Source organism: Homo sapiens, chromosome 8, assembly GCF_000001405.40.
Source record: "Homo sapiens chromosome 8, GRCh38.p14 Primary Assembly".
In the NCBI taxonomy this organism is placed as follows: Eukaryota; Metazoa; Chordata; class Mammalia; order Primates; family Hominidae; genus Homo; species Homo sapiens.
In genome coordinates this window covers 144,449,266-144,475,951 of record NC_000008.11, presented here as the reverse complement: position 1 = coordinate 144,475,951, position 26,686 = coordinate 144,449,266, and the positions used below count along the sequence as shown (strand labels likewise).

At 63.1% G+C, this 26,686-nt stretch overlaps 5 protein-coding genes and 1 non-coding gene across 36 annotated transcripts, besides 17 other annotated features; 5 read left to right on the top strand and 1 right to left on the bottom strand.

Moving 5' to 3' along the window:
• On the top strand, positions 103-2,540 carry FOXH1 (forkhead box H1). The gene is made up of 3 exons (NM_003923.3): positions 103-369; positions 691-795; positions 896-2,540. Exons 1-3 carry the CDS (start codon positions 196-198, stop codon positions 1,712-1,714), a joined length of 1,098 nt encoding a protein of 365 aa, NP_003914.1. The 5' UTR covers positions 103-195; the 3' UTR covers positions 1,715-2,540.
• Positions 759-1,652: an enhancer, noted in NCBI's record as "H3K27ac-H3K4me1 hESC enhancer chr8:145699683-145700576 (GRCh37/hg19 assembly coordinates)". NCBI's record gives its function as "activates a minimal SCP1, AML or CMV promoter by ChIP-STARR-seq in naive H9 embryonic stem cells {active_cell/tissue: H9 hESC(naive)}" and the evidence as "EXISTENCE:reporter gene assay evidence [ECO:0000049][PMID:30033119]".
• Positions 1,653-2,548: an enhancer, noted in NCBI's record as "H3K27ac-H3K4me1 hESC enhancer chr8:145698787-145699682 (GRCh37/hg19 assembly coordinates)". NCBI's record gives its function as "activates a minimal SCP1, AML or CMV promoter by ChIP-STARR-seq in naive H9 embryonic stem cells {active_cell/tissue: H9 hESC(naive)}" and the evidence as "EXISTENCE:reporter gene assay evidence [ECO:0000049][PMID:30033119]".
• KIFC2 (kinesin family member C2) lies at positions 1,750-9,903 on the bottom strand. 5 transcript variants are annotated; one of them, XM_047422406.1, is made up of 18 exons: positions 9,716-9,903; positions 9,434-9,491; positions 9,114-9,192; positions 8,842-8,993; positions 8,611-8,749; positions 8,322-8,467; positions 8,173-8,238; positions 7,965-8,093; positions 7,546-7,623; positions 7,302-7,416; positions 7,118-7,227; positions 6,573-6,681; positions 6,305-6,462; positions 3,906-4,010; positions 3,693-3,814; positions 3,468-3,591; positions 3,246-3,375; positions 1,750-3,157 (listed from the first exon to the last, which is right to left on the bottom strand). In XM_047422406.1, exons 8-18 carry the CDS (start codon positions 8,016-8,018, stop codon positions 2,502-2,504), a joined length of 1,761 nt encoding a protein of 586 aa, XP_047278362.1. In that variant the 5' UTR covers positions 8,019-8,093; positions 8,173-8,238; positions 8,322-8,467; positions 8,611-8,749; positions 8,842-8,993; positions 9,114-9,192; positions 9,434-9,491; positions 9,716-9,903; the 3' UTR covers positions 1,750-2,501. The 5 variants fall into 5 exon arrangements, with proteins under 5 accessions (XP_047278362.1, XP_047278361.1, NP_001356698.1 ...); XM_047422405.1 differs by having other exon boundaries at positions 9,850-9,903; NM_001369769.2 differs by lacking the exon at positions 9,716-9,903 and having other exon boundaries at positions 1,750-2,820; positions 2,901-3,157; positions 9,434-9,615.
• Positions 3,451-3,510: a silencer, noted in NCBI's record as "silent region_19695". NCBI's record gives its function as "represses an Ori minimal core promoter by ATAC-STARR-seq in GM12878 lymphoblastoid cells {active_cell/tissue: GM12878}" and the evidence as "EXISTENCE:reporter gene assay evidence [ECO:0000049][PMID:35858748]".
• Positions 8,412-9,248: an enhancer, noted in NCBI's record as "H3K27ac-H3K4me1 hESC enhancer chr8:145692087-145692923 (GRCh37/hg19 assembly coordinates)". NCBI's record gives its function as "activates a minimal SCP1, AML or CMV promoter by ChIP-STARR-seq in naive H9 embryonic stem cells {active_cell/tissue: H9 hESC(naive)}" and the evidence as "EXISTENCE:reporter gene assay evidence [ECO:0000049][PMID:30033119]".
• Positions 8,412-9,331: a biological region, named in NCBI's record as "H3K27ac-H3K4me1 hESC enhancer GRCh37_chr8:145692087-145692923".
• Positions 8,622-8,721: an enhancer, noted in NCBI's record as "active region_28099". NCBI's record gives its function as "activates an Ori minimal core promoter by ATAC-STARR-seq in GM12878 lymphoblastoid cells {active_cell/tissue: GM12878}" and the evidence as "EXISTENCE:reporter gene assay evidence [ECO:0000049][PMID:35858748]".
• Positions 8,892-8,951: a silencer, noted in NCBI's record as "silent region_19694". NCBI's record gives its function as "represses an Ori minimal core promoter by ATAC-STARR-seq in GM12878 lymphoblastoid cells {active_cell/tissue: GM12878}" and the evidence as "EXISTENCE:reporter gene assay evidence [ECO:0000049][PMID:35858748]".
• TMEM276 (transmembrane protein 276) lies at positions 8,937-12,127 on the top strand. Of its 7 annotated transcripts, none has more exons than NM_001408062.1 (3): positions 8,937-8,999; positions 10,856-11,143; positions 11,340-12,127. In NM_001408062.1, exons 2-3 carry the CDS (start codon positions 11,051-11,053, stop codon positions 11,823-11,825), a joined length of 579 nt encoding a protein of 192 aa, NP_001394991.1. In that variant the 5' UTR covers positions 8,937-8,999; positions 10,856-11,050; the 3' UTR covers positions 11,826-12,127. The 7 variants fall into 7 exon arrangements, with proteins under 7 accessions (NP_001394991.1, NP_001394989.1, NP_001394990.1 ...); NM_001408060.1 differs by lacking the exon at positions 8,937-8,999 and adding an exon at positions 9,101-9,156; NM_001408061.1 differs by lacking the exon at positions 8,937-8,999 and adding an exon at positions 9,101-9,668.
• Positions 9,022-9,331: a silencer, noted in NCBI's record as "silent region_19693". NCBI's record gives its function as "represses an Ori minimal core promoter by ATAC-STARR-seq in GM12878 lymphoblastoid cells {active_cell/tissue: GM12878}" and the evidence as "EXISTENCE:reporter gene assay evidence [ECO:0000049][PMID:35858748]".
• Positions 9,382-9,941: a silencer, noted in NCBI's record as "silent region_19692". NCBI's record gives its function as "represses an Ori minimal core promoter by ATAC-STARR-seq in GM12878 lymphoblastoid cells {active_cell/tissue: GM12878}" and the evidence as "EXISTENCE:reporter gene assay evidence [ECO:0000049][PMID:35858748]".
• Positions 10,002-10,131: a silencer, noted in NCBI's record as "silent region_19691". NCBI's record gives its function as "represses an Ori minimal core promoter by ATAC-STARR-seq in GM12878 lymphoblastoid cells {active_cell/tissue: GM12878}" and the evidence as "EXISTENCE:reporter gene assay evidence [ECO:0000049][PMID:35858748]".
• Positions 10,202-10,461: a silencer, noted in NCBI's record as "silent region_19690". NCBI's record gives its function as "represses an Ori minimal core promoter by ATAC-STARR-seq in GM12878 lymphoblastoid cells {active_cell/tissue: GM12878}" and the evidence as "EXISTENCE:reporter gene assay evidence [ECO:0000049][PMID:35858748]".
• On the top strand, positions 10,251-26,370 carry TMEM276-ZFTRAF1 (TMEM276-ZFTRAF1 readthrough). Of its 18 annotated transcripts, none has more exons than NM_001408009.1 (6): positions 10,460-10,542; positions 10,856-11,143; positions 11,340-11,492; positions 22,492-22,730; positions 23,382-23,593; positions 25,182-26,370. In NM_001408009.1, the coding sequence occupies exons 2-6, from the start codon at positions 11,051-11,053 to the stop codon at positions 25,571-25,573; spliced, it is 1,089 nt and encodes a 362-aa protein (NP_001394938.1). In that variant the 5' UTR covers positions 10,460-10,542; positions 10,856-11,050; the 3' UTR covers positions 25,574-26,370. The 18 variants fall into 18 exon arrangements, with proteins under 18 accessions (NP_001394947.1, NP_001394951.1, NP_001394954.1 ...); NM_001408008.1 differs by having other exon boundaries at positions 10,460-10,599; NM_001408010.1 differs by having other exon boundaries at positions 10,460-10,744.
• Positions 10,512-10,741: a silencer, noted in NCBI's record as "silent region_19689". NCBI's record gives its function as "represses an Ori minimal core promoter by ATAC-STARR-seq in GM12878 lymphoblastoid cells {active_cell/tissue: GM12878}" and the evidence as "EXISTENCE:reporter gene assay evidence [ECO:0000049][PMID:35858748]".
• Positions 11,447-12,060: an enhancer, noted in NCBI's record as "H3K27ac-H3K4me1 hESC enhancer chr8:145689275-145689888 (GRCh37/hg19 assembly coordinates)". NCBI's record gives its function as "activates a minimal SCP1, AML or CMV promoter by ChIP-STARR-seq in naive H9 embryonic stem cells {active_cell/tissue: H9 hESC(naive)}" and the evidence as "EXISTENCE:reporter gene assay evidence [ECO:0000049][PMID:30033119]".
• Positions 12,155-12,832: an enhancer, noted in NCBI's record as "H3K4me1 hESC enhancer chr8:145688503-145689180 (GRCh37/hg19 assembly coordinates)". NCBI's record gives its function as "activates a minimal SCP1, AML or CMV promoter by ChIP-STARR-seq in primed H9 embryonic stem cells {active_cell/tissue: H9 hESC(primed)}" and the evidence as "EXISTENCE:reporter gene assay evidence [ECO:0000049][PMID:30033119]".
• Positions 12,699-12,818: a silencer, noted in NCBI's record as "silent region_19688". NCBI's record gives its function as "represses an Ori minimal core promoter by ATAC-STARR-seq in GM12878 lymphoblastoid cells {active_cell/tissue: GM12878}" and the evidence as "EXISTENCE:reporter gene assay evidence [ECO:0000049][PMID:35858748]".
• Positions 12,833-13,510: an enhancer, noted in NCBI's record as "H3K27ac-H3K4me1 hESC enhancer chr8:145687825-145688502 (GRCh37/hg19 assembly coordinates)". NCBI's record gives its function as "activates a minimal SCP1, AML or CMV promoter by ChIP-STARR-seq in primed H9 embryonic stem cells {active_cell/tissue: H9 hESC(primed)}" and the evidence as "EXISTENCE:reporter gene assay evidence [ECO:0000049][PMID:30033119]".
• Positions 12,869-13,168: a silencer, noted in NCBI's record as "silent region_19687". NCBI's record gives its function as "represses an Ori minimal core promoter by ATAC-STARR-seq in GM12878 lymphoblastoid cells {active_cell/tissue: GM12878}" and the evidence as "EXISTENCE:reporter gene assay evidence [ECO:0000049][PMID:35858748]".
• ZFTRAF1 (zinc finger TRAF-type containing 1) lies at positions 13,081-26,370 on the top strand. Of its 4 annotated transcripts, none has more exons than NM_001408048.1 (4): positions 13,081-13,118; positions 22,492-22,730; positions 23,382-23,593; positions 25,182-26,370. In NM_001408048.1, exons 2-4 carry the CDS (start codon positions 22,510-22,512, stop codon positions 25,571-25,573), a joined length of 825 nt encoding a protein of 274 aa, NP_001394977.1. In that variant the 5' UTR covers positions 13,081-13,118; positions 22,492-22,509; the 3' UTR covers positions 25,574-26,370. The 4 variants fall into 4 exon arrangements, with proteins under 4 accessions (NP_001394977.1, NP_001317547.1, NP_001394978.1 ...); NM_001330618.2 differs by having other exon boundaries at positions 13,081-13,669; NM_001408049.1 differs by lacking the exon at positions 25,182-26,370 and having other exon boundaries at positions 23,382-24,827.
• Positions 13,413-13,467, top strand: MIR10400 (microRNA 10400). Its single transcript, NR_162109.1, has one exon. It is a non-coding gene; the product is annotated as a microRNA 10400 (primary transcript).
• Positions 26,371-26,686: the final 316 nt, after the last annotated feature.

Genomic DNA, 26,686 nt, shown 5'->3' with positions numbered 1-26,686 from the left:
GGAAGCCCTCGGCATGCTCCCCTCCCCCACAGCCTCTTCCTCCCTTCCCTCCCCTCCCCCTTCCATCCGAATGATAAAGGCCCCAGCCCGCCTGCCCCAGCCCGGCCTCAGGTCCCGGCCCTGCCTTCTACACTGCCCCACCGCCCTGCACCCTCCACCCGGCCAGGCCCCTGCCCACGCTGTCTACCGTCCCGCATGGGGCCCTGCAGCGGCTCCCGCCTGGGGCCCCCAGAGGCAGAGTCGCCCTCCCAGCCCCCTAAGAGGAGGAAGAAGAGGTACCTGCGACATGACAAGCCCCCCTACACCTACTTGGCCATGATCGCCTTGGTGATTCAGGCCGCTCCCTCCCGCAGACTGAAGCTGGCCCAGGTGAGCGGGCCCCGGCCCCCACTCTCTCTTTCCCCAGACTCGTTCCCCACCCACTTCCAGGTTCAAGCCCTGACCCCCACCCCTTCCTAGCCCACCCAGGTATGCCAGTGGGACCAGTCCTGAGAGCTGAGGGCCTCAAGGCACGACCCTTCTCCGGGAGCCCCTTGCCCTCTCTGCCGCGCTTCCGCGCAGAAATGTCCTTCTTCGGGGACAGCAGGGGCCGGCACCGCGCGCCCCTGAGCCCGGTAGTGGGGGAGGGGTAGGGCGCTACCCCCTCCCCGTCTGGGCTCACGGCGCCGGCCGGCCGCCTGGCGGTTTCAGATCATCCGTCAGGTCCAGGCCGTGTTCCCCTTCTTCAGGGAAGACTACGAGGGCTGGAAAGACTCCATTCGCCACAACCTTTCCTCCAACCGATGCTTCCGCAAGGTGGGGCAGGCCAGGGTCGGAGCCCGGGGGCGGAGCGCGCGCGGAAGTCCTGAGCATCCAAGGTTGGGCAGCCCCACCCATGTCTGACCCCCACACCCAGGTGCCCAAGGACCCTGCAAAGCCCCAGGCCAAGGGCAACTTCTGGGCGGTCGACGTGAGCCTGATCCCAGCTGAGGCGCTCCGGCTGCAGAACACCGCCCTGTGCCGGCGCTGGCAGAACGGAGGTGCGCGTGGAGCCTTCGCCAAGGACCTGGGCCCCTACGTGCTGCACGGCCGGCCATACCGGCCGCCCAGTCCCCCGCCACCACCCAGTGAGGGCTTCAGCATCAAGTCCCTGCTAGGAGGGTCCGGGGAGGGGGCACCCTGGCCGGGGCTAGCTCCACAGAGCAGCCCAGTTCCTGCAGGCACAGGGAACAGTGGGGAGGAGGCGGTGCCCACCCCACCCCTTCCCTCTTCTGAGAGGCCTCTGTGGCCCCTCTGCCCCCTTCCTGGCCCCACGAGAGTGGAGGGGGAGACTGTGCAGGGGGGAGCCATCGGGCCCTCAACCCTCTCCCCAGAGCCTAGGGCCTGGCCTCTCCACTTACTGCAGGGCACCGCAGTTCCTGGGGGACGGTCCAGCGGGGGACACAGGGCCTCCCTCTGGGGGCAGCTGCCCACCTCCTACTTGCCTATCTACACTCCCAATGTGGTAATGCCCTTGGCACCACCACCCACCTCCTGTCCCCAGTGTCCGTCAACCAGCCCTGCCTACTGGGGGGTGGCCCCTGAAACCCGAGGGCCCCCAGGGCTGCTCTGCGATCTAGACGCCCTCTTCCAAGGGGTGCCACCCAACAAAAGCATCTACGACGTTTGGGTCAGCCACCCTCGGGACCTGGCGGCCCCTGGCCCAGGCTGGCTGCTCTCCTGGTGCAGCCTGTGAGGCTCTTAAGACAGGGGCCACTCCTCCCTCCCGCTCCCACCCCCACCTTGTTGACAGGGAGCCAAGGCGAGGCGGCTGTCTGCGACCACAGCAGCCTCGAAACACCAGGCAGCAGCCTTGCTGGGAGTCCACGGTGTTTATTGGGCCACCCCACGCATGGCCGTGGCCCAGCTGGGCACAACCCTCACCCTGGTCTGTCATGCCTGTTTTTCCTACACTCAGCGGCAAAGCTGCAGGAGCAGGGCTGAGCCTGGAATAGCCCTTCCTAGTCCCCTCTTCTCAGCCCACTACCCATCCATCAGTCACCAGCCGTCACCTCCCCTCCCGTGCTCCAGGCTGGGGGAGGGAGAGCCCAGTGGTGGATCCAGCCTGAAGTCCTGCCCTCTCTCATCTGTCTGGAAAGGAGGTAGCACCTTTTTCGGGAAACGGGTTAGGGAGTAAAGACTGCACCCTACATGGTCCTGGTGGTGGGGGGGATAACAGTAAAGGAATTTGCAACGTTTTAATGCCATGCCTGATTTTTGGGTCAGGAGTGGTGACTTGGGTAACCACTTGGCGGGGGGGCCTGGGATTCCCTGCTGTGTGCCGTGATAACAGCAAATGGTGATAAGGAGAAAGCCAAGACCTGTGGCCTGATGCAGGGCTGGGGGCGGGGGGTGATCACTTCAGCAGGCACAACACACTTCACTGGCTGCGGAGGTGGAGGGGTGACTCTGGGAGCTCAGGGGCAATGGATCCAAAGAGGCTAGGGAGCTTGTGCCCTGGGAGACGGGGTACAGGGACTTTACTACCGCCTCTGCCAGCAGAGACCTGGCCTGAGACCCCATGGGCAGGGCCGCGACCCAGGACTAGAGGGGCAGGCCCTCTGCGGGCGCGAGAGCCGAGCCCGAGCCGTTGTCGGGACTGGGGCATGGAGGACTGCCAGGGGACGGCGTAGGGGTGCAGGGGGTCCCGGTGAGCGGAGTGTCGGTGCTGAGGGAAGAAGGCGTCCCGGAGGAGCGCGGGACCCTGCGGCGCCGGGCTGGCCCCAGCTCCACTTGACCCACTCGGTCGGCGAACTTGAGGGAGCAGACTGTCTCCCCGAGATCCTCCGGCCGCGTGGAGATCTGCGGGCAAGAGGCGCGGGTGGGCGGGCCCGGGTGGGCGGCGACCGGCACGCACACACCTGCCCCGCCCCGGCGCCCACCTGCAGCAGCAGCACCGCGGTGGTGCCTGGGCCCAGCGCCGGCTGCAGCAGTCGCGTGAGCTGCGAGTCGCGGAAGGGCACGTGCGGCCGGTGGGCCCGCAGTGCGGCCATCACGCCTCCTAGCGCCAGCAGCGAGCGGTTTATGGTCTGGGCCTCCCGCAGGCGCCGGGCGCCGTCTGGGTCTCCCCGCGGCGGGCCGGCCGCCCCTGCCTTCCGTGCGCGTTCGGATCCCGCCAGGTCCACCAGGTGCAGCGTGCCTAGAGGGGCGAGCGAGCCCGACATGGGGGAAGGCCGGGCCTCGGGTGCTCTGGAGACTCCGCAGGGCTCAGGCACCGGCCGTGGTACCTGCGGTGCCTGGAGCGCGCGGTGGAGACGCCGCGCGCAGCGTCAGCGTGACCAGGGCATGCGAGCGGGAGCTGCGCTGGTTCATGGCGGTGGCGGCGGTGGCCCGGTTGCTCCTCCCCAGTTTCAGCATCTGGAAGGCGGGGCGAAGGGCTGGTCAGGTGCAGGGTCCCCGCCCCCAAGTGGAAGCACGGGGCGGGGTCTCGGAGAGCGGTGCAGCCCTACCTGGTGCAATGTCTCCAGGTTGGGCACGTCCCAGTGGGTGAGGCCAGCCACCTGGATCCCGCCCTGGCCTTCTGGGCCCTGCCTCACGGCCAGGCGCTCGGGAGGCCCTGGAGCAAGGAGGTCCCTGGTGAGAAAGGGGAAGGTCTTGGTTCCAGAATTCTCTGGAAATCCGGAAGGGCCCTGGGCCAGGGGTGGGGAGAAGGCCTCCCTGGTGGAGTAGCCCACCTGACAGCCTCATTGTAGATCTCCACCATGCTGAGTGTCACCCGGTGCTGCCGGCCGGCCCCCATCTCCCGGAACAGCGACTGCAGCGCCCTAGGAACTATGCCGGGGTCCTCAGGAGGGCCCTGAGGATGGGGTGGGGTGCACACCGGGCTCACATCCAAGTCATGCAGGGCCCCTGGGGCCTCTCCCACTGGGGCGTGAGCTCTGTCCCACCTCCATGCTGTAGGTCTTCCCGGTGCCTGTCTGGCCATAGGTGAAGATGCAGACGCTGTAGCCTCGGAGGCAGGACAGCACCGCAGGTTCCAGCTCTCTGAAGACCTGCGGGAGGCGGGAGAATGTGTTTTGAGTCCTCCCCACGTTGCCTGTTTATGCCCTATTTGGTGGGGTGGGGAGTGCCACGAAGGCAGGTGTGAGCAGAGCCTAGTCTCCTGGGAGGATGGCTCTAAGGGACCATGGGGGAGGGTGTGTCCTACAGAGACCCTCTGTCTCCCTAGAGAAGGTGGTGCTTGCAAGAATTTGCCAGGCAAAGAAGGGAAAAGACACAATGAGAAGAGGAACAGCCTATGCAGAGGCTCTGGAGTCCTGAAGACCACGTAGGAGACCTGGGGACAGCAGTTAAGAGCGCAGGTGTGGTGTCCTTAATGTGGAAGCCAACGTGAAAAAAAGAAAAATAAATCCCAGCATTTTGAGAGGCCAAGGAGGGTGGATTGGTTGAGCTCCGGAGTTTGAGACCAGCCTAGGCAATACGGTGAAATCCCGTCTGTACAAAAACTACAAAAAAATTAGCCAGGCATGGTGTTGCACATCTGTGGTCCCAGCTACTCGGGAGGCTGAGGTGGAAGGATCTCTTGAGCCCAGGAAGCAGAGGTTGTAGTGACCTGAGATTGCACCACTGCACTCCAGCCTGATGACAAAGTGTGACTGTCCAAAAAAAAAAAAATACATATACATATATATGTAGTAAAAAATTTTAAAAATGTTTAAAAGAGCCCAGATGGGCTGGGCGAGGTGGCTCACGCCTGTAAACCCAGCACTTTGGGAGGCCAAGGCAGGCAGATCACAAGGTCAGGAGTTCAAGACCAGCCTGGCAAACGCGGTGAAACCCCTGTCTCTACTAAAAATACAAAAATTAGCCGAGCATGGTGGCACGCACCTGTAATCCCAGCTACTTCGGAGGCTGAAGCAGGAGAATTGCTTGAACCCAGGAGGCGGAGGTTGCAGTGAGCCGAGATCACACCACTGCACTACAGCCTGGGCAACAGAGTGGGATTCCATCTCAAAAATAAAGAAAAAAAAAAGAGCCCAGATGTTGGGGCGTGACTGCACGGTTCAAACCTGGGTATGATTGGAGCTTACTCATTGGCCTTCCTGTGCCTCACTTTCCCCTGAGAGATAAGGGCTGCAGTGGCACCTGCTGTGAACACTTGTGGCAGTGCACCTAGAGGGCCGGCCACACCAGTACCTGGCTCACAAGGCGTGACCCCAGGAAGGGCCTGCAGGTACGGGGGATGGTGGCCAGCCAGGCCTGCTGGAGCCCAGGCACAGACAGGTGCTGAGAGAGACACAAGGTTAGGACATTCACCCCATTGGCACTGGACACCAACAGTCTTTTGAGCAACAACATGGCTGGCTTTTATGCCCAGAAGGTCGCTGCTAACAGGGTGGGCTGTCAGCTCTGTTTGAAGACAGCCACAAGGCTAGAATCTAGAATTCTGTGTTCTGTGTGGTCACTGAGGTTCCATGATTGGATGGAGGTGGCACTGAGGATGACATTCAGGAGCACATCATGGCACCACTGCAGAAACAGGAACACAGATGAGGGGCTTGTCCACAGATGCCTTTGGTTCAGACACATTGACTGAGAGGACCCTGTCCAGGACGGCTGTCCAGAGGACGGTGCACAAGGCATGCCCTGCGCAGTGCTGCAGTGTGGGGTGGGGCTAAGGCCAGAGGGATGTGTGGGATGAAGGAAGAAGTGGTTGGAAAAGAGGCAATCAGGGTGACCCTGGCCACCTGCTGGGCAGTCGTCCCCCTGTCCCTGTGAGGCTGGCAGGCAGCCTGGTTGGGAGTCGCTGCCATTCTGCCCCTTACCTAGTCTCCCCTGGCTCTGAGCTGCCATCTCCTTAGCTATGGGAGCTGTAGCAGCAAAGGGCATGTGCAGATGAAAACGTGTGTGAAAGTGGGGTGGGCTGGGGCTGAAGCCCCTGCTTTTCCACAGGTGTCTGGCAGGAAAAGGGTGGGGAAGGAGAGTGGGATCCAGGCAAGGCAGAGAGAGCACACTAAGACTAGAAGGTTGCCTCCTCACCCACGGCCCCCACCACCCACCGCCTGCCTTGGGGCCATAAAGCAATGAGGGGCCCTCATAGCTGGGCAAACCCTGGACCCCAGCAAAGGGGAGTGGGCAGGCAGTGAAGCCTGGGAGGAGGAGGCACCAAGCTGGGCTGCCTGCCCTGCTTCCCAGCCCCCTCGGTTCCCTTTCCTTCCTGGCTAGAGCCCAGCCACCCTCTCTCCTCCAGGTGGACACCCAGACTGGGAAGGGGAAACTGGAGCCTCTCCTGCTCTTCAGGGAACTCTGAAAAAGGGTCAGGATGGCTGCAAAGGCAGGCTGTCACCTCCTCCTGGCTGGCGTCTGGAGGGAAGACCCAGTCTAGGCGGAATCGACGATGGCGCCCCCGGTAGCAGGTGGTGACGGTGCCCCCTGGGCCAGGCTCCACACTCACAAGGCTAGAAGATGTCCCTGGCCTCAGCCGACACAGCACACGGATATTTCCTGCAGTGGGGATCAGGTCAGCATAATGCCTCGCAGACCCTAAAGCACAGAGAAGCTGCACTTCTTCCAGCCGCCCTCCCTGCCCCGCTAGGCTCCCAAGCCTGTCATACCCTTGAGTTCTGGCAGCCGCCCTGGGCATCCGGCTGGGGGCCCTTGCTGCCCCTCAGGGAGCTGAGTGCCAGGCCCTCCAGATGACAGTGCCCCCAAGGCCCAGGACACCTGAGGGAACAGGGATGTACAGAAGGCAAGGGGTCAGCCAAGGAGCTGCGGAGGTGGGGGGTGGGAGGGTCCTGAGAGCAGCAGGGAGCCCCCACAGGCCCGCTCAGCTGTGCTAAGCCACAACTTTCAGTGGCTCTGGGCCCCTGGGGACATCATTGAGTAACCCCAGGATAAAGCCCAGGAATGACAGGCAGGAACACCACATCATCTGTCTCCTCCGTGCTTCTGGGCAATGCTTTAAGAGTTTACTGTCAACCAAGTATGCATAGAATTAAAATAAGGCCCAGAAGTGGAATCCCACCCTGGGTCACACAGAAGCTGTTTGGGTTCCAGAGCCCCACTTATTAGTACAGCCAACTCCCCAGGAACGCCCCCGTCAAAAGAACAGTGAATAGGCTGCCCAGAGAGGAGGGGCTAGGCGGGGAGGGGTCCTGACCTGGCCCCGGGCCTCACTCAGCGAACCCTGACAGCTCTGGGTAAAGGTGCTGACCAAACCTCGGAGGTCCCCGCAGCCCTGACGCAGGCTGGCCATCCGTGCCCGAAGTCCTGGAGAGGGAAGTCTGTTGGAAGGGAAGGCCCAGCCTCCAGGGCCTCCCATGAGCCCCAACCCCAACCCTTACCTGCCAGCTGCCCATGCATCTGCTGTAGCTCACGCCTGCAGTTCTGCTCCGTCTCCTGCTGGAGCTGCTGGAGGGCCCCTTGAAGGCCCTGCAGCTGCACCTCCTGCACCCCCAGCTGCCCCGCCCAACCCCACCCCTGTCACTGAGGAAACAGGCACTTACCAGGCCCTGCCTCAGATAAGCCCCTCCCAAAACCCCAGCCCGCCTCACCCCTGAGCCATGGATCCCTGGGCCCCATGCCCACCTGGGCTCGGAGGGCTTCTGTGGTGTCTTGGGCCTCCTGAAGCCGGCCCTGGAGCTCTAGCAATGCCTCTGCCTCCTCCTGCGGGAGGGTGGGGGCCAGGAGGGACTCAGAGAGGGACGGTCTGTGGTACCATTTCACAGATGGGAAAGTCAAGTCAAGAGGTGGGCAGAGCTGGCTGTGAACCCATGCCTCCCAGCTCCACGCAGACCTCCTTCCCACAGTCCCTCTGCTCTCCTGGGGTCAGCCACTCAGAGGGGCCACGGAGAGGGGGGTCTTCCCATTGGCATCAGCCTCCCTGATGGGGCTGCCCTACACAGACCATCCCGGGAGGTCCTGAGGAGGCTCGGGCCCTGTGGCTGCATGCCAGGTGTGCAAGAGCCCCAGGCTGCAGGAACGGCTGCAGCTCGGGAGCAGAGTACCTGCGGAGCCCTGATGGGGGGCCCGGGGCCCCAGTGCAGCAGGAGGTCCCGCATGAGACTCAGGCTCTGCTTCAGGGCCTCGTTCTCCAGAGTCAGATGCTGAACCCTTTTCTCTGAGTCCGTCGCCCCCTGGTGGAGAGGAAACCTCGGCACTCACCTGAAGCACCCCCTCCATGCCCGGCCCTGCCAGGTCTCCCTGCAGCCTCACCACGCCCAGGCGCAGTCGACCCAACTCCTCCTCCTGCTGTTCCAGCTGCTGCTTCAGCTCCTCCAGCTGGGGAGAAGTAAGAGAGACAGGGTGGACCTCCTTTTTCTGGCGTCCCAGCCGGCAATCCCTTCTGGCTCCAGGGACCTCACCTGTCCCAGGATGAGCTGCTCCAGCCGCTGCCACGCCCTCTGATCCTCCTCCAACTGGAGGGGCTGCTGTCCCTGGGTCTCATCCCCCAGTGGCTCGCCTGGGACTGCGGTGAAGTGGGAAGGGCTTTCTTCTTGGGATGTGGATCCTGGAGTAGGGTGGGCCCAGTTAGCACTGAAGAGGTCTCTAGTCCAAATCTTCCGGAACATGACCCCGAACTCCAGGCCGCCCAGGTTCTACCGGGATTTGCTCCCTCCAGAGTTCTTCTTCAACTTACTGTCCTTTACTCACCATCTGGAGAGGGGGGCCGGACCCGAGGGGCTGGCTGAGTCCCCTGGAGCAGGGCCTGCCTCCCCCTGGGGCTTCGAAGCCATGCCAGAAGGGCCAAGAGCTGACTGGTCACTGTCAACAGTGAGGGGACCTCGCCAGACTGCGAAGGAGACAAGAATCCGAGCAGGGCTGTGAAAGCCAGGAAGGCCGGGGCAGGTGGTACCTGCCAGCAGCCCCCTCCGCCGCGCTCACCTGGCCCAGGTCCGCCGGGCCCCCGCAGCTCTCTTCCGCCCCCAGCTGGACGGAGAGGAACTCGGCGAGGCGCAGTAGGGCCTCTTCCAGGGACACCGCGGCCGCGCGGCCCTCGGCTGCGCCTTCCGACCCATCCTCAGGCTCGGAGCTGGCTGCCGGTCAGGGAGGAGGGCGGGAGACATTTCGGGTCACGTGCTTGAGCCAGGCCTCCGCCCCTCCCTGGGAGGTCCCGGCACCGCCCTCGCACCGCGGGACTCCCAGCCCGCACCTACCGGCCAGGCCGGTCAGCTCGGTCCACAGCTCTGGCGCGGGCAGGTCTGGGCGCCGGCGACCCCGGGGCTTGCGGGCTCTCTAGGGAGGGGGCAGGGGCGCCCCTGAGGAGGGGGGCAGGCAGCCTGCTGGCCCCTTCCCTCCGCGAACCGGGCCGGAGGATTGGGGCCGAAGTCTACGCTTCCAGCATCGGGGCCGAGCCGAGGGTCCTCGGCACGGCCCCGTCGCCCCGCGCCCCGTGCCCGCCCCCGCCCCGGGAACCTCGGCGTGGGGGTGGGGCAGGCGGCGGGAGACGACGGGCTGCACGGCCAGCCCCGCTCACCTGGGCGGGGTCCCCGGGCTCCGCGGCCGCCGCGGCGCCACCATCCCTGCGGAAGAGGCTGTAGAAGATGTAGATGAGCAACGAGTAAAAGGCGTACATGGGAGCGCGGGGCGGCAGAGGGCCCCGCTTCGCGCCGCCCCGCGTCCCCGCGCCCAGACTCGGCGCCCGCCCGCCGCAGTGCCGGTGCGCATGCTCGCGACGGCCGCCCCCACGGCCCGGCTCCCACGGCTGGAAGGCGAGCGCGGGGACGGGGGTACTAGAAACAGGTGCCCGCGGCCGCACCTGGAGACCCGCCGTTTCTCACGGCGCCGCCCGGCGCGCCCCAACCCCTACACCGCGGACACCGGGCTGAGAGCGCCCACGGCTCCCGCGACCCTCCTCTCGGAATCCCTCCCACCCTCCGCGTAGTCCCCCACCGCTCCGGTTTCGCGGAGCCTTCAACACGCCGGGGTTCTCCTTCCTCTCCCTACAGCCCCGCCCATCTCAGCCCCGCCCATCTCAGCCCCGCCCAGACCCCCCCTCCTCGCAGCCCCGCCCAAACCCCGTTCCTTGCAGCCTCGCCCAGGCTCCTCCCCTCTCGGTCCCTCTCAGTCTCGCCCAGACCCCTCTCCTCGCAGCCCCGCCCAGGCCCCGCCCCTCGCAGCCACGCCCAGACCCCCCCATCGCATCCTCGCCCAGGCCCCGCCCCACCCAGGCCCCCTCCCTCTCAGACCCGCCGCTCTCAGCCCCGCCTAAACCTTATCTCCCTCAGCCCCGCCCAGACCCCCCGCCCCTCGCAGCCCCGCCCAGACCCCGCCCCTCGCAGCCCCGCCCCGGCCCTTCTCCCCTCATCACGCTCCTTCCAAACCACTATGCCCACGCACGCACCCACCCAAACAGAGCGTTTTCTGGTCCCCGAGCTCCTCCCGACCCCACCCGCTCCTACGGCCTCCAACCGGCCCCCCCCAGGTCTCGACCCTCTCCCCCAGGCCTCGACCCTCCCCCCCCAGCCGCTCTAGCCCCGCCCGGCCGCTCTAGCCTCCGCTCCTCTCGCTGGTGGAGGTTCCCGACCGCGCTCGCTCCCGCAACTGGGGGCACGGCAGAGGAGGCAGGGCCGACGGCGGTGGGCGGTGCGTTGCGCAGGCTCGGGCCTCCCGCTCGCCGCTGCGTTGGGACCGCGCAGCCCGGTAACTGCGCACGGCTGGCCTCCCGGAGTCCTGCGCCGTCGCTCCTCCTGGACCCGGGTTCCCAGGACAACGCCTCCCGGAACGCAGGGAGCAGGCCGAGGCCGCCGCGTGGGCCTGCAGCGCCTCGCCGCTCTCTCTTCCCCAGGCCCGCACTCCCACTTGGGCTCCAGGGCCCCAGGGCTGACGTTCCCCCCAGCTTAGACCCTGAGTCGTTTTCCCCCGTTTCCCGGCTGAATTAGGTTCTTCTTCTCCACAGGTGTGTGCAGTGGCCTCAGGGATCCGGAAAGTCTAGGACTGAACTTCTCCTAACATCCAGTAATGGGGACCTGGAACCTGGGCTTACTAGAGTGCCGCGCGTAGGGCTCCAGGTCGCTGGCTTCTGCGCTTCCTTCCTCTCCAAAGTTGAGTATCTCCTATCTGTGTCCTCGTACATACTGCCGCCTGAGGTGCCATGGCCCCCAAGCCGGGGGCCGAGTGGAGCACAGCCCTGTCCCATCTGGTGCTGGGAGTGGTGTCTCTGCACGCAGCCGTGAGCACAGCCGAGGTGAGTACACTGGGGCTGAGCAGGGGCGCATCCCCATACCTCCCAAACCCCAAGGACCTAGTTTCCTGAATTAGAGAGAGGTTGGTGGGAAGTGCGTCTAAGACCAGGTCTCCATGGAAGCCCCAAACCCTTTCCTGTTTAAAAGGGTGACCCCGGCCTCTTTTTCCCACGTGTTCTCCCTTCCCTGTGTTGACAGGCAAGTCGAGGGGCTGCTGCTGGCTTCCTGCTCCAGGTCTTGGCTGCCACCACCACGCTGGCCCCAGGGCTGAGCACACACGAAGACTGCCTTGCTGGAGCCTGGGTGGCCACCGTCATCGGCCTTCCCCTTCTGGCCTTCGATTTCCACTGGGTGAATGGGGACCGCTCCTCTGCCAACCTGCTCCTGGGAGGAGGCATGGTGCTGGCAGTGGCTGGCGGCCACCTCGGCCCTGAGGGCCGCTCTGTGGCTGGTCAGGCAATGCTGTTGGTGGTCGCAGTGACCATCCTCATTGTAGCTGTCTTCACGGCCAACACTTATGGGATGTGGGGGGGGGCGATGCTGGGTGTGGCAGGCCTCCTGAGCCGGCTGGAGGAGGACAGGCTGCTGCTGCTACCGAAGGAGGATGTCTGTCGCTGGGCCTTGGCTGTAGGCAGCTGGGCTTACTGCCGGGCCCTGCATACACAGCGCCTCCAGTGGGAGTGACAGTTGGATACAGCCAGGCAGGGTTTCTGCCCTGCCGAACACTTTCCCTCCCACCTGCCTGCTCCTGGCGCCTTCTCCCTAGGGGTAGACTCTTCTGCCTACTGAAGTGGGTTTGCTGCACATTGACTGGTCAGGGGCAGAGTCTGGGTGCTGTCCTTTGGCCACGTGTGGGGACTTGTCTAGACCAGAATGAAAGGGACAGGGTCCCAGACACGTTTGGGGGTCCTGATTCTGGGCTGGACACGGTTGTGGATCCAGAGAAGAGGCCTAGTCTCCAATAAATCTTAGGAATTTTGCAGGAATATGAAAACTGCCCATTTTTGAGAGGGATTGAGGGATCTTTCAGTGAGCTTCCTAAGGCCCCTCAGGACAGTAGTCAGTTACCCTGACAGGGTATGTGCTGGAACTAGGATGGGGTCTCATGCAGCCCGGCCTCCTTTTGACTATTGTCAGGAAGACCCCTGGGCTGAGAAGACATAGCCCTGGGCCCTTACTCTCCAGGGACATGGTGGAGTTCCAGATATCCTGGCCTGGCCTGGCAGGTGGCCCTCTGGGGCAGTGACCTTCAAGAACTGAAGAGTAGGGTGGAGGCAGGGGAGGGCTGTACCACAGGCGTTTCGAGAAACGCACATCCTTCCCAGAGCTGATTCGCCCTCCTGTGTACCTCCGGCCTGTGGAAGCCAGCCCTATTCCCTAATACCTTCGTTTTCCTCAGTGGACCCCTTCAGTCTCCAACCCCAGGGTTAGAGGGGGTTCGGACGAGCAGAGGATTAGATTCCGGTGGGTTAGGGGTCTGGAGTCCCCTCTCCTGGAAGTCTCTCCGCTTGCTCCTGTGGAGACCTAAGGGGTCCCGCACCCGACAGAGAGGGGTGGCCGGCGGGATTTTTCACTTGTGTCCTTCCCCTGCGGGGAAGGGGGCGAGAGCCCCTAACACAAGCCTGAGTCTTGGGGGACAGAGACACAGGCACACCCCGCCGTAGGGGTCGGCGGCCGCCACTGGCTCGTGGAGCGTGGGTGCCGCGCCGGCGCCACAGCTCGCGTGGGCCTCCCTGCCCCCAGGTGCGAGTCCCTCCGCGACTCTCGCAGGCCGCGCCCCCTCCCCGCCCACCTTCTGCAGGGGCGGGCCTTCGGGGGCCCTCGCTCTCCCATTGGCTCTAGTCCCTGCGCTTTCTTGCCCCAAGCGGCGCTCCCATTGGCCCCGCGTGGGGCTCACGTGACGGGGAAGACGAGGGGGTGGTGGCGGCGGGGCGGGGGGAAGCGCACAGCGAAAACAAAGATGGCGGCCGTGCCGGGGTCGGTGGCCGCGGCGGCTGTGGGGCTACGCGCGGGCCGGGCCCACTGAGGCGGCGGCGCAGGGAGCGGGGCTGCGGGTTCGCGGCGGCGGCGGCAGGAGAGCGGCGGGAGCGCGCGGCGCCCCTAACTTCTAGTCGGGGGAGCGCGCCGGCATCCGCCCGCCGGGCCGGCCGGCCGCTATGTCCGGCGCCGAGGAGGCCGGCGGGGGCGGCCCGGCCGCGGGGCCCGCGGGCTCCGTGCCGGCCGGGGTCGGGGTCGGGGTCGGAGCCGGGCCCGGGGCGGCCGCCGGGCAGGCGGCGGCGGCGGCTCTGGGCGAGGCGGCGGGGCCTGGGCTCCCGGACGAGGCGGGCTTGGCGGGCGCCCGGCAGCTACAGCTGCAGGAGGCGGCCGGCGACCCCGACGCGCCGCCCAAGAAGCGGCTGCGGGCAGCCGAGGCGGCCGAGGCGGCGGCGGCGGCGGCGGCGGCCGGCAGCGGGAAACTGGAGGAGCGGCTCTACTCGGTGCTGTGCTGCACCGTGTGCCTGGACCTGCCCAAGGCCTCCGTGTACCAGGTAGGGCCGCCGGCCGACCCCGACCCGGCCCAGCCCGGGGCTGCAGCCCCCGCCGCGGGGCCCCAGGATCCGCGTCTCCTCGGAGGCCAGGCCTGCGGGGCCCGGCGGCCGGGAACCCTCTCTGGCCCTTACAGCCACTTCCTCGCCCAGCGGGGCTCCAGCGGCTGCTCCGAAGCTCCTCGTTGTCTTTCTCTCAGGGCTTTATTTTCCGCTCGGGACCCCCCTTTTCTGTTTTCTGATCCACGGTACTTCCCGATCTGAATCGCTTGTCTTCCGCTTACCTCTCCCTTCTTTTTTCTAGACTTCCCCACGGTCCCCTGAACACTCTCCCAACCCACAGCCTCAAACTGATCCTTAGCCCGCAACTGCTCCCCGCAACCCACCCGGTCCCAAGCTCCCTGGGCTCAGAGTCCTGTGCTCGAGAGCTCCTTCCCCATTCTTCCGGCAGCCACACCCCCGAGTTTGTCCCTCCACTCCTGAACATCCTATGGACGCCTCCTTTTCTACCCTCCTGGGTGGAAGAATCCTTTCTCTTGGTCCATTTCCAGTTCATCCTGAAGAACAGTAAGGAGAGGGGATTGCTGTTTGTCGGGATGAACCATTTGCAACAAGCCCCACAGTTTGGGTACCTTCTCCAGTCCCAGCCAAACCCCACATCCAACTGGACTTGCCATGCCCCACGCTAGGCTCCTGCCCACCTCACCCAGGCCAGGCCAGGCTTCCTAGGCAGCCAGTGCTCCAGGAGCCGGCCCACCCCTCCTCCCCCATCTTCACATCCGCATGGCAGTGGGACTCAGCCCTTAAGCAGCCTAGGGCTGTTAGGGTACCTGGCCCAGGTGGGTTTGACATGCCCTTTCCCAGGTAGCAGCAGGGACAAACTGGTTGACACCCAGAGGCAGAGTACAGTGTCCCCACCTTCCCTGTGTCTTTCCCTCTCTTTCAACTCCCCAGTCCCTGTGAGAAATGAAGCAGGTTCTCTGTCAGCTTTCTTTACACTTACAGGAGCTGGAAGTAGCTAATGGGGCCTTGTTTCCCTGCTTGTGTTTGAATTGGGGGCCTGGATGAGGAGCTACTTTTGTAGCAGGTGGTGTAGGGCTAGTCTAGGTTGCCATTTCTCCAAACTCTGGATCTCCAAGTCCTTCTTGCTGTGGCATGACCTTGTCGGGAGGACCCCAGTGTGCCTGGGTGGGGAGAGGGCACTGGCTCTAACCCACCCTCCTGGGTGTCAGGCACCAGGGCCAGCTAGGGGAGCACTTTTCAGAGCCACTGGCTCCCAGAGTTAGCAGTTACTCCTTGGCTTTGGCAGTGCCTCAGCTTCCAAGATGTGCCCACTCTCCAGCTCCTTTTTCCTGGCTCACAACCTTCGATCCTCCCAGGCGGAAGAACTCTCCTTTTTTTTGAGACGGAGTCTCACTCTGTCACCCAGGCTGGAGTGAAGTGCCACGATCTCTGCTCACTGCAACCTCCGCCTCCCGAGTTCAAGCAATTCTCCCTACCTCAGCCTCCCGAGTAGCTGGGATTACAGGCGCCTGCCACCATGCCCGGCTGTTTTTGTATTTTTTAGTAGAGACGGGGTTTCGCCATGTTGGCCAGGCTGGTCTCGAACTCCTGACGTTGGGTGATCCGCCTGCCTCGGCCTTCTGAAGTGCTGAGATTACAGGCATGAGCCACTGCGCTTGGCCAGAACTTTTTCTTGGATCTCGAGGGAGACTCCAACAAGCCAAGCCAATGGTGTGAGGCCACGGGGGAACAGGGAAGTCTCCTTGTCTCCCCATTGGTGGGTGGGCTGGAGCTGTAGCTGGACCTGGTGGTGATGGGCCACATGGTACTGGTCCCTGGTGCACTGCATCCCCCATCTAGACTGGCCCGGCACAGAGTGATGGCTCTGCTTCTGACCGGAGCTCCTGGTGACCAGGCCTCTGAGCCTAGCTGGTTCAAACCGGCCTGCACTGTGCAGAGTGGAGTTCTGCTCTGGGCGGCCAGAGGCAGGGAGCTGAACAGGTGTAATGGAGACCGAAGGCGCTGGGGCTGCCCTGGCTGGTGGCCCTCCCTGGCCTGGGGGCTCTGTTCAGTGACTTCCCTGGGAACAGAGCAGCTGAGCGAGGAGTGCTGTGGGCACAGGCCTCCCTGAATGCTGCGAAGAACACCTCCGGCGGGTGGCTCTCGGCTGTGAGTGGTGCCCCTGGAAGGTCAACACAGACCTGGAGACCTGGGCTCTGGCCTGCTCTGCTCCCTGGAGAATCTGGGCACAGATGGTGTGGGCCCCCACATGCTGCCTTCTGCGTGTCCCTGGTTGGGCCCATGCTGGCCATCACCCCAGCTTGGGTTCAGTCTACCATATTCTACTAGCTTTCCTTGGTGACCACGTTGATTGGCTGTCTCGAGCCAGCCAGTGTCAGGAATGCAGCAGGTTCCACCCTCTGTTCCTGCTAGAACGCTTTTCCTGACCCCAGCAGAACACATGGCTCAGGGTGGGCACCAGCCAAGCTGGGGGCTGACTTAGACAGTCCCTGACTCTGGTGAGAAGAGGGGAGTGGCCATGCTGAGCTTTGTGTGTTCTCCCTGGCACTGGGGCTGTGGGGGACAACTCCATGGGCCTCTGGAATTGGCTGGGTCCTCAGTAACTCGAGAGCTTGTCATCCAGATACCAGATGCCACCAGTGCTGGCAGGGAAGCCTCGGGTGGTGCCCCAGGTCTGAGCCTTTGGGCCTGCAGGGCCAGCTGACCCATGGGCCTGTGCCCGTACGATGATGCCTCACAGGCTGGGAAACCTGCTTGGGTGTCAGACTGAGGCCCTCATGCAAAAGGTTTCCGCCACCGCCGAGTCCTGCCTCACGTCAGGTTGGGGCTGCAGCCAGTACAGCAAGACTCAGCTTTTATGTTCTCTGTGTGGGTGTTAGATATGTTCTGGGGGACTGGCCTGACAAGGTGTGCAGCCACCTTCTGGAGTCTCAGGTGGGTGGCAGGAGGGCTGGTGGGGCAGCAGTTACACCTGTGCAGGAGCTTCTGGCCTGACCAGGCCGCGCAGGTGGTCAGGTCGTTCCTGCCGGCTCCCTGCTCTGCGGCCCGAGGGCAGTGTGGCCTGTTGGCACCTCTGCCCATGGGGCACCTCCTCTGGGAAGAGACAGCCTCAGCGGTGCCCGGGACGTTGCAGCCGCAGCCTCATCCCTGACTTCTCTCCCTCCATTTTGGCCCTTCAGACGAGGCCCAGTGTGATGCTGCGTAAGACAGACCTGGCCCTGACCCTTCCTGCTGCTGTCAGATGAGGCCCTGGGCCTTGGTGCTGGCACCTGGAGGAAGGGACTGCGCATTGTTCCCACCCCTCATGGGGCATTCTTAAGGCAAAAACGGGCTCACTCGGGTGTAAGTGCCGGGCAGGGGCCTCTCACAGATGTGGTCCAGCCGCTCCCTCTAACTCGGCCCTGCACAGTGCCCTGCCATTCCCATGCTCTCCTGCCTGAGGTGTCCTCTCCCTGCCCCTGCCCACCTCTTGGGCCCGGCAGAGGCAGCGCCCCCACTTTGAGACTTTGTTCTCTCCTTGCTACAAGGATCCCCTCCTGCCCCATCTGACCAGGGTGTGTCCACTCTGTTCTGTGGGTGGGTTGGTGTGTGCCGTGGCCCTCCCGCCTGTAGCGCCCATGTCTCTATGCCACATGTTGACAGTCCATTGATAACAGCCCAGGAAGCAGAGATGGCTCCTCTCTGCCCGAGCCCCACACCCCCAACCAGGCCAACAGTGTGCAGTCCTGGGGGGGTGGAGTCACCATCCACATGTCCAAGGAGCTTCGGGCCCCTCTTCCCCAGTCTCCTGGGCAGCAGTACAGGACTGCAGCTGACTCGTTCTTTGAGGTGAGGAAAGTGGCAGAAAACATCTTTGTAAATACGTCTGCTTAGGTATCTAAAACACAGGAGCAAGGAAGATGTTCTGGAATCTCTGGCTAGTTGGAATTTTTGTTTTCTGTGGTGGTTATCATTTGAGTTACTTTTAGATCTAAGCAGCCTTGTTCTGAATGTGGGCCCGACTCTGGGGATTGATTGGCCACCGTTTGAGGTCTGACAGCAGTAGCAGGTGAGGGACTTCAAATCCAGCCTGGGTGGAGGGTTCGAGTCCTGGCTTCATGCTTAACAGCTGTGCGGCCTTGGACAACGTGCCAGTCCCTCTCAGACCCATGTTTGATTCGGGAGGTTAGGGGCCGAGCACGCGGGGTGCATGGGGTGTGCCCTGAAGCACCACTGGCCCTGGTGAGGCCTTGCCTGCATGCAGATGGCAGAGGAAGGGGGACCTCCAACTGGCTGAGCAGCGCTTTTGGGGTTTGTGCCACAGGGAAGCCCTTTGGCTGCATTTTGGCTCTGACGACCTCTGTCAAGGGCCTGTGGGTCCCTGACCCCTGGGTGAGCGAGGGCACTGCTCCCATGGGCCTGGGCACTGTGCCATCCTCCAGTGGCAAACAGGAGGTCCCCAGGGTCTGAGAGAACCATGCAGTCCAGGTGTGAAAGGGGTCCTACAAGGTCAGCTGACCATAGAGACCTTGGGACCACCAGGAAATCGTGGGGGCCCTCAGCCAGGGGATGGGGTCAGGGCTCCTTGAGCCTGTTCCGCCCATCTAGCTCCCCTTTAACCCCAGGGAAGAAGTAGCTCAGGTGGAGACCCTGGGTCTGCATGGGGGTCACGTGAGCTGCCTGTAGCCAGCAGGGGGGAGGGCTGGGTGCTGTCCTGAGGATGCAGGTGCAAATGGCCATTTCTGGGCCACCTGTGTGTATCAGCATCTGCAGAGGGGCCTGGGGTCTGGCTCCTGGGGTTGGCAGCCCCAGGGGCTCTGCCATGGCTGCCCAAGGTGGTGATATTTCCTGTCTGCCTGTTGGGTGTGGGGCAGTGCCACCCTGTCCCATCCCACCTCATCAGCACAGAATGAAGCTGGTCCTATACTCATCACCTGTGCACATGAGGAAACTGAGGCCCCAAGAGGGGAGCCCAAGGTCATATTACTGGGGATCTGTGGGCTGGCGTCTGAGCCCAGCACTGTGGCTTCAAGCCCACATCTGCCCTAGGAGGGCCCAGGAGGCCCTGTGATGTCATTCCCCCGTGATGTCATTCCCCCATGACATCATTCCCCTGTGATGTCATACATGTGACGTCATTCCCGTGCTGTCACCACATGATGTCATCCCCTGTGGTATCACCTCTGTGATGTCAATACCTCTTTTAATGTCATCCCCATGGTGTCATTCCCCCCATGATGCCATCCCCCCATGATGTCAGTCCCCCATGATGTCAATTTCCCACAATGTCATCCCCTGTAATGTCAATACTCCCTTTGATGTCATCCCCGTAATGTCATCCCCTGTGATGTCATTCCCTCATGATGCCAGTGTGATGTCATCTCTGTGATGTCATTCCGTGATGTCACCCCCCATGATGCAATTCCCCTGCAATGTCATGCCCCTGTGATGTCATCCCCCGGTGATGTCATCCCCCCATGTGATGCCAGTCTCCCATGATGTCCCCCCTGTGATGTCATTCATGTGACATCATCCCGTGATATCATTCCCGTGATGTCTCCCCCATGATGTCATTCCCCATGTGATGTCAATTTCCCACGATGTCACCCCTCTGACATCATCCTCTGTGATGTCTCGCCCATGATGTCATCCCCCATGGCGTCATTCTTGGTCGTGGGGGGTTGTGGATCCCCTCCTCTCCCCTCCCTTGGGGTCTTCCTGGCTGGTGGGGAGAGGTGGCCTGGCCTGGGTGCCACAGCAGCTGCTCTGGAAGGTGCCCGGGCTCTTGGGGGCCTTGGCCCACGCCATCCCCTGGACTGTGCGGCGCCCTCCAGGGCCCAGCTTCTGTTGGGTGTTGGGCACAAGTCAGAATCAAGTGCATCTGGCCAGATGCTGCCAGGGCCAAGGATGCAGCTGCCTGTGGCCTGGCCTTGGTGTAGAGCCAGAGTCTTGCGCAGGGGCTGAGGGGACCCAGATGGTGGGGAGGCTCCGGAGCATGTGACCAGGGACCGTCCTGCTGTGGACAGACCTCCTGGGCTGAGTGTTGGTCGGGACCGGGCCATGCACCTAGAGATGTCCTTTGACCAGTGGGGAGGGTCTGGGGGTGAGTGTGGCTGTGTCCCTTGGCTACTGGGCCAGTGTAGTCCAGGGCACTCTAGGGACTCCCTGTGTTCTGACTTGAATGGAGCTATTGGGGCTGAAGGGGCAATGGCCCTGTGTCTCCTCGGAGCTTGCAGGTCCTCTTGGAGGCCCAGAGAGAGCCAGAGGAGGGCAGGGTCACTGCTGCCTCCTCATGGTATGGAATTGACTGAGCCCATGCTGGGATCTGGAGGCCCCAAAGGAATGAGGCCTGTGGCCAGGGGCCGGCCCAGGAGCTGGGGTGGCTTTCGGGGGAGAGGCCCGCAGTGCTGGGAGGTAAGTGGTGATGTGCTTGGCAGCCTCAGTGCTCCCTTAGGAGGGTCTAGGACCCCACCTCGAATCTTCCTGGGCTATGCAGAGCCAGGAAGAGAGGCCAGGTGGCCTTGGTGGGTGGCATTAGATGCTCCAGCCCTGCCTGGAACTCCCTTGGGGGTCGGGCCACAGCCAAGAAGAGTGCTGTTTTGCCTGTGCTAAGGCCACTGTACGTGCAGAGCTGGACCCAGAACCTCGTCCAAGGCCCCCGGCAGTCTCACCAGGAGGTGTTTAGAGCTGGCCACGTGGAGTGGCATACCTCCGGGGGGCGGGGGGCTGTGAGAGGACAGTGGTGTGGGCCCTTGGTCTGTGCCTCCCACAGGACAGCTGCTTCAATAGCATCTGTGCCCCCTCCTGCCTGTAGTCCACCCACCACTGACCCCTGGACTTGGCTGGCGGATTTTCACACCTTCTCCTGGGGGCAGGTCTCAGCTTGTCCCCAACCCAGTCAGAGCCAGTCTCACTCCCTGCCTCAGGCAACTGTGTATGTTTTAATTTTTATTTATTTATGTATTCATGAGATAGAGTCTCACTCTGTCTCCCAGGCTGGAGTGTAGTGGCACCATTTCGGCTCACTGCAACCTCCGCCTCCCGGGTTCGAGCCATTCTCCTGCCTCAGCCTCCTGAGAAGCTGAGATTACAGGCGCTCGCCACCATGCATGGCTAATTTTTGTATTTTTAGTAGAGATGGGGTTTCACCATGTTGGCCAGGCTGGTCATGAACTCCTAACCTCAGGTGACCTGCCTGCCTCGGCCTTCCAAAGTGCTGGGATTACAGGCATGAGCCACCGCCTGTAATTTTAATTTTTAACCAAACTGAGAACTTGAGGATTGAATGCAGGTAACGGGTGGTGTTCATGTGGATGTGGATTCCATGAAAGAGGGCTTTGTCCTCACTGTCGGTTCTCCACATGTAGGTCCTTTGACTCAGCAGGCCTTAGGCCTAGTCCACAGGTGCTGAGTGAACAGCCCCAGCGTCTGACAGCTCCTTAGCTTGGGGTGCACAGGCAGCTGAAGCAGTAGGATGGCAGCTCAGACTTCCCAGGGCCCCACGTGTGCAGGGCTGGCCTCCCAGCACCACCAGGCAGGGCCGGCCTCCCAGCGCCACCAGGCAGGGCCCTGTGAGTGTCCCCTCCCTGACACACACCTTGTAGAGAGGCTGGGCCTGGGCAGGCTGCTCTGCTGCACCACATCCCATTCTCAAGAGGGTCCCAGGTCCCAAAGGAAGCCTGTAGCCCAGTGGCTTTCTGGAGGTTTGCATGGCTGGCAAGCCTGGGCCGGCTGCTGGAGAGGCATCAGGACAGGAGCAACTCTGCTGACTGCTCCCCTCAGCGAGCTCTAAGAGTCTTTGGGTGGGAGGCACATCACATCCCTGTCACTCCTGGCTGGCCCTGGAATGCCTCAGCCCACACACCCCACTCCAGCCAGGGCTGTGGGAACTGTGTCTGCTCAGGTACAAAAGGCTTTGTTTGTTCTTGGACCTCTTGGTTCTGGTCTGGGCTTCCCACCTCCCATGCTGTGAGCCCCCACGGGCTGGGACCGCAGCTTGCCATGTGTCTCTCAGTGGCACCAAGTGGACGCTCGAGGCTTATGTTGAGGGAGTGAGAGCCAGGATAGGCCACTGGGCGTGCTGGGAGCCCACACAGGCAGGGAGCCCAGCGGGAGGTGCCCTGCTCCTGCCAGCCCCGGTTACCCCAGCAGGCTCGGCACCCACTCAGAGCCCCCATTTCTGCTCCCCAGGCACTCCCTGTGTGCCTACCTGCCCTTGTCCTTGTCCTGGGCCAGCTTGGCTCCTGCCTCCCAGCTCTGAGGAGGTCTCTGCAGGTAGCCAACCTCCCTGGACGAGGGGGCAGCTGCCTCCTCTCACCTGGGCTCACCCTGAGCCAAGTCCTCTCAACCCAGGATAAATGGCCTTTCTGAAGGCCCAGAGAGCATGCCTGCCCCAGTGTGGGAGCTGCATCCGCTCCCCACCTGACAGTGATGGCCAAGAGCCCAGTGTTCCTGGAGGGCTCCCAAACTCTGGACCTGTAGGGGGGTCAGGGCAGTCGCTGGTCCCTAAGGGAAAAGCGTGACCCTCGGCCCCAGGTGGCTGAACCCGTCACTGCCAGGGCGAGCTGTCACCTCTGTGAGCTGATGAGGCCTTGCTTTTAGGACCTCTAATCTCTGCAAGAACCCAAGCTGGCTCTGCCTGTTTCTCCTGAGCAGCTCGCAGTGTTCACCACACTCCAGCACGACTCGGGACAGGCACGTGCGCCCCTCTGCACCAGCTGGAGTCCCTCAGGACACCTGGCTGGAGCTGATGGGCATGGGCGGGTGTGTGCGAGCATGAGCCCGCAGGTCTGTGAGCTTCGTCTCCCTTTCCTTCTTCGCAGTGTACTAATGGTCACTTGATGTGCGCTGGCTGTTTTATCCACCTACTAGCAGATGCCCGGCTGAAGGAGGAGCAGGCCACGTGCCCCAATTGTCGTTGTGAGATCAGTAAGAGCCTCTGCTGCCGGAACCTGGCCGTGGAGAAAGCCGTGAGCGAGCTGCCTTCAGAGTGTGGCTTCTGCCTGCGCCAGTTTCCCCGCTCCCTCCTGGAGAGGCACCAGAAAGAGGAATGCCAGGACAGGTAACTGAGGGTCAGGGGCTTAGCCTTACAGGCGGGGCCCAGGACTGCTGGGAGCCCACCCTGGTGCAGCAGGGCCCTGTGCAGGGTGGTCTGGCTGTCTCTGCTGTCTGGGCCTTGGGGACCACCTGTGTAGCCCAGTGACGGCCCTGTGGGAGGGTGCCTGCACAGGATGGGGACAGGTGGGTTTTGCACCCAGTTGTTATCCGGACATGAGCCTAGCCTTCCAGTGCTCTTTGTGGCTGTGGGGGAGCCCCTTGAAGGGCCCAGGACAGCGTGTCCAACGCAGGACCTCAGGGAGCTTGGTGTGAGGGTACACTGCCCATGGCTACCCATCCAGTGGAGGCAGCCACCAAGTCTCCTGCAGTGAGGCTGTGCAGGACCACCACTGCCAAACAGAGGAGAGAACCACGCCATGGTGCGGGGCACACAGGCTCAAGCTTGCACTCTTCCTTCCCCTCTCTCTCCCTTTTTCTGCCTGTCTCCTTTCTCTCCACATGCTGCCACTCTGACCTCATCCTGGGGGGTGGGCTCACAGTTACGTGTGTCCTGCAGGAAGGGGTTCTTAGCTGGATGGAAGCCATATGGGAGGACAGCTTGTTGCAGCCTCCTGTTCGGGGCTCAGTCTGTGAGTGATGTACCTGCCTCCCCCAGGGTAACCCAGTGCAAGTACAAACGCATCGGCTGCCCATGGCACGGCCCCTTCCATGAGCTGACGGTGCACGAGGCTGCGTGCGCCCACCCGACCAAGACAGGCAGTGAGCTGATGGAGATCCTGGATGGGATGGACCAGAGCCACCGCAAGGAGATGCAGCTGTACAACAGCATCTTCAGCCTGCTCAGCTTCGAGAAGATTGGCTACACAGGTGAGGCGCCCCGCCGCCTGCTGCATGCCACACAGGTGTGGGTTGGGGGGCTGGCAGCCAGGAGTCTGGGGGCAGCAGGCTCTGGGCACTGGGCACTGACAGCGCCGGACAGCCGGGCTCTGGACAAGCTCCCGGTGGACAGGTGGACACCTCGGTCGAGAAGACAGGCCGGAGACTGAGTGGAAGGAGGGGCCGAGGCAGACCCCAGGTGCACACCTGTGTGGCTCTCACAGCAGCCCCGCCCACCTGTCCTCGCCACCCTGGCTTCACCATCCCTGCAAGGTGGCATCTCACTGTGGGGCTCCAGAGCCTCAAGACAGTCAGGGTCTAACCAGAAAGTGGGCAGGTCTCAGGGGGCCTGGGAGCTAGGGGCCTGCCCCTCGGACCCTGGGGCAAGAAGAGCACCCTGCCGAGTGAGGTCCTACCTGCAGGCAGTCACTGCCCCGGCCATGGGCCTCTCAAGGCTGGCACGAAGCCATTCAGGGAGAGGGCTCCACAACAAGCTGAGGGTGCCCGACTCAAACTGTAGAACCGGGAGTGGACACCCACAGACGCCCAGGCTGGATGCGTGCGCAGGCACACTGGATCTCGTGGCTCTCTGGGCCGCTGCCACCGCCTTTGAACGTGTCGGGGAGCAGGAGCCAGGCCAGAGCCTGGCCCAGAGGACAGCGAGAAGCACCTGTTGATGCTGGGGCCACTGGAGGAAGCTCCATCCCTCTACTCTCAGCCCACACCAGGCGGCCAGCTCAGAGCACCAGGCGTGGCGCAAGCAGGGTGGTCGTGGGCAGCCAGTCCCGCCCTGCTGCCTGGACTGTGCCCAGCGGGATGTGGGCCCGAGCAGGCCAGAGAGGCCGAGGGCCTGGGGTCTCTGCGGCAGCCACAGCCCGTGGTGAGTAGCAGCCTTAGCTGTCCTGGAGATACCGGGGCCTCGTGGAGTCTAGGCAGGCTGGGGCACTGTGGCTGTGGCCGTGGCCAGGTGAGAAGCCCCATTCGCGCAGGAAAGACTGGCCACCTGGGAACCCACGCCTCCACGGAGGGACTTGCCGGCCACAGGCTGTGGGCTGCCCAAGAGGACTGTGCAGGCAGGGCTGCCTGCTGATTGGCAGCTCCGGATCAGGCCCGGTGCCTGCAGACCTGGTGCTCCCCTCGGGCAGGGCTGGGTGCCGCAGCCGCCTGCTGGCTTTTCTGGCAGCTCCTCTGTATCAGAACCAATAAAGTGCACTTGTTCTCGGAACCGCATCCTGTCTGTGTGTCTGCTTACCCCGCCCTGGGGGACACCCGGGGCTCGGGGCGGTGAGGGAGGCCAGCGTGGGTCGGGCACGCCTGGGGTGTGGCCTGACACGTGCAGCCTCTGGACTCTCCAGCTAATCCATGTTGATTCTGTTTGTGGTTGTTCCCCTCAAAGCTTGTGTGCACCTCCATTTGCCATAGTTGCGTTTGGCTTGCTTGTGACAAGCAGAGCCCGGTGTCCGGGTAAGTTGCCTTCCTCCCCGGCTGAGCCTGCCCTCGGCCTGGTCAGGGAAGGCGTTGCTGCCCAGCCCTGCCCACACTAACAGCCGGCTCTTTCCGGCCCTGTCTGTCTCCACAGAGGTCCAGTTCCGGCCGTACCGCACAGACGACTTCATCACGCGCCTGTACTATGAGACGCCCAGGTTCACAGTGCTGAACCAGACGTGGGTCCTGAAGGCTCGAGTCAACGACTCGGAGCGTAACCCCAACCTGTCCTGCAAGCGTACGCTCTCCTTCCAGCTCCTCCTCAAGAGCAAGGTCACGGCACCGCTGGAGTGCTCCTTCCTGCTGCTCAAGGGCCCCTACGACGACGTGAGGATCAGCCCCGTCATCTACCACTTTGTCTTCACCAACGAGAGCAACGAGACGGACTACGTGCCACTGCCCATCATTGACTCCGTGGAGTGCAACAAGCTGCTGGCTGCCAAGAACATCAACCTGCGGCTCTTCCTGTTCCAGATACAGAAGTAGGGCGGGGCCTCAGGATGTCCGAGGAGCCCACGGGCGGCATCCCAGCACCGCTGCCCTGTCCACCTGGCTGGCAGCTGCTTCACAGGACTATCTGATCACTTTAGCAAAGGAGGAGAACAAACGAAGCCAACACAGGGCAAGTCTGCATGCGTGCGCGACGGGGCCCCCGCCTCCGGCTCACCCCCCCGACCCCTGCCTCCCCTCCTTCCGAGGGCCGCCAGAGGCTGGGCTGACCCGAAGAGGAGACGGTGCACCAGGCGCCCCGAGGCTCAGAGACGGTGGCAGCAAGGAGGCCGAGAGGCACAGCGACCCTGCCCCAGCCCTTCTGTGCAGTCAGGCGGCGGTGCTGCTCCATCCCTGCGGGTTCCGGCGGGGCGCGGGGGCCTTGCTGACATCAGACGGGATATCCGAATATCTGATAGCAATTAAAAGGCAGCCTTGTTTCGTACTTTCTGTTTTGTTCGAGGGGAAGGCATGGCTGTGAATGGACAGCGTGGGGGCTTTGGTTTGGCCTGGGGGTCAGAGCCTGCCCCGCCCCCATCTGTGTGCCCGCACACGTCCCCCGAGGAAAGACTCAGAGACACTGCCTCCCCCTACACTCTGTCATGGGGTCTTGAGACTGAGGCTTGGGCAGGAAGATCCAGGTAGGGTCGGGGCTGCCCTGGCCAACCGGCCGCTCCCAGGGAGACAGGACTCAGCCACCAGGGCTCAGCAGGCATTTTCCGAAAGCAGGGTGAAATTGTCTCTTCCCAGGAAAAAGATTAAACTCCTTGCAGGCTCTTGGATAAGTTACACAATTTTAGTGAGAAAGAGTCTATTTACTGTAGATTCAGCCTTGAGGGCCCAGCGTCCCCAGGCTGTGTGGAAAGCTTGGGTCAGTGCTTGGGCGCCTGGCTGGGTGAGAGTCTGAGGTGTGTCCCCCATGCTGCTCTCGGGGTCCTGCTGCTGGCCCTGCATTCAGGGCTCGCTGCAGAGGTCAGAGGTTGGGCAGCCCAGCTTCTCACCTGGAGGAGGTGGGCCCTTCCCATCCTCACCCTGGCCGCCCCCTGATGTGCCCCGTGGTGGCTGAGCAGGGCTGGCCTAACAGGATGGGAAGGAACCCTGCCTGGAGGG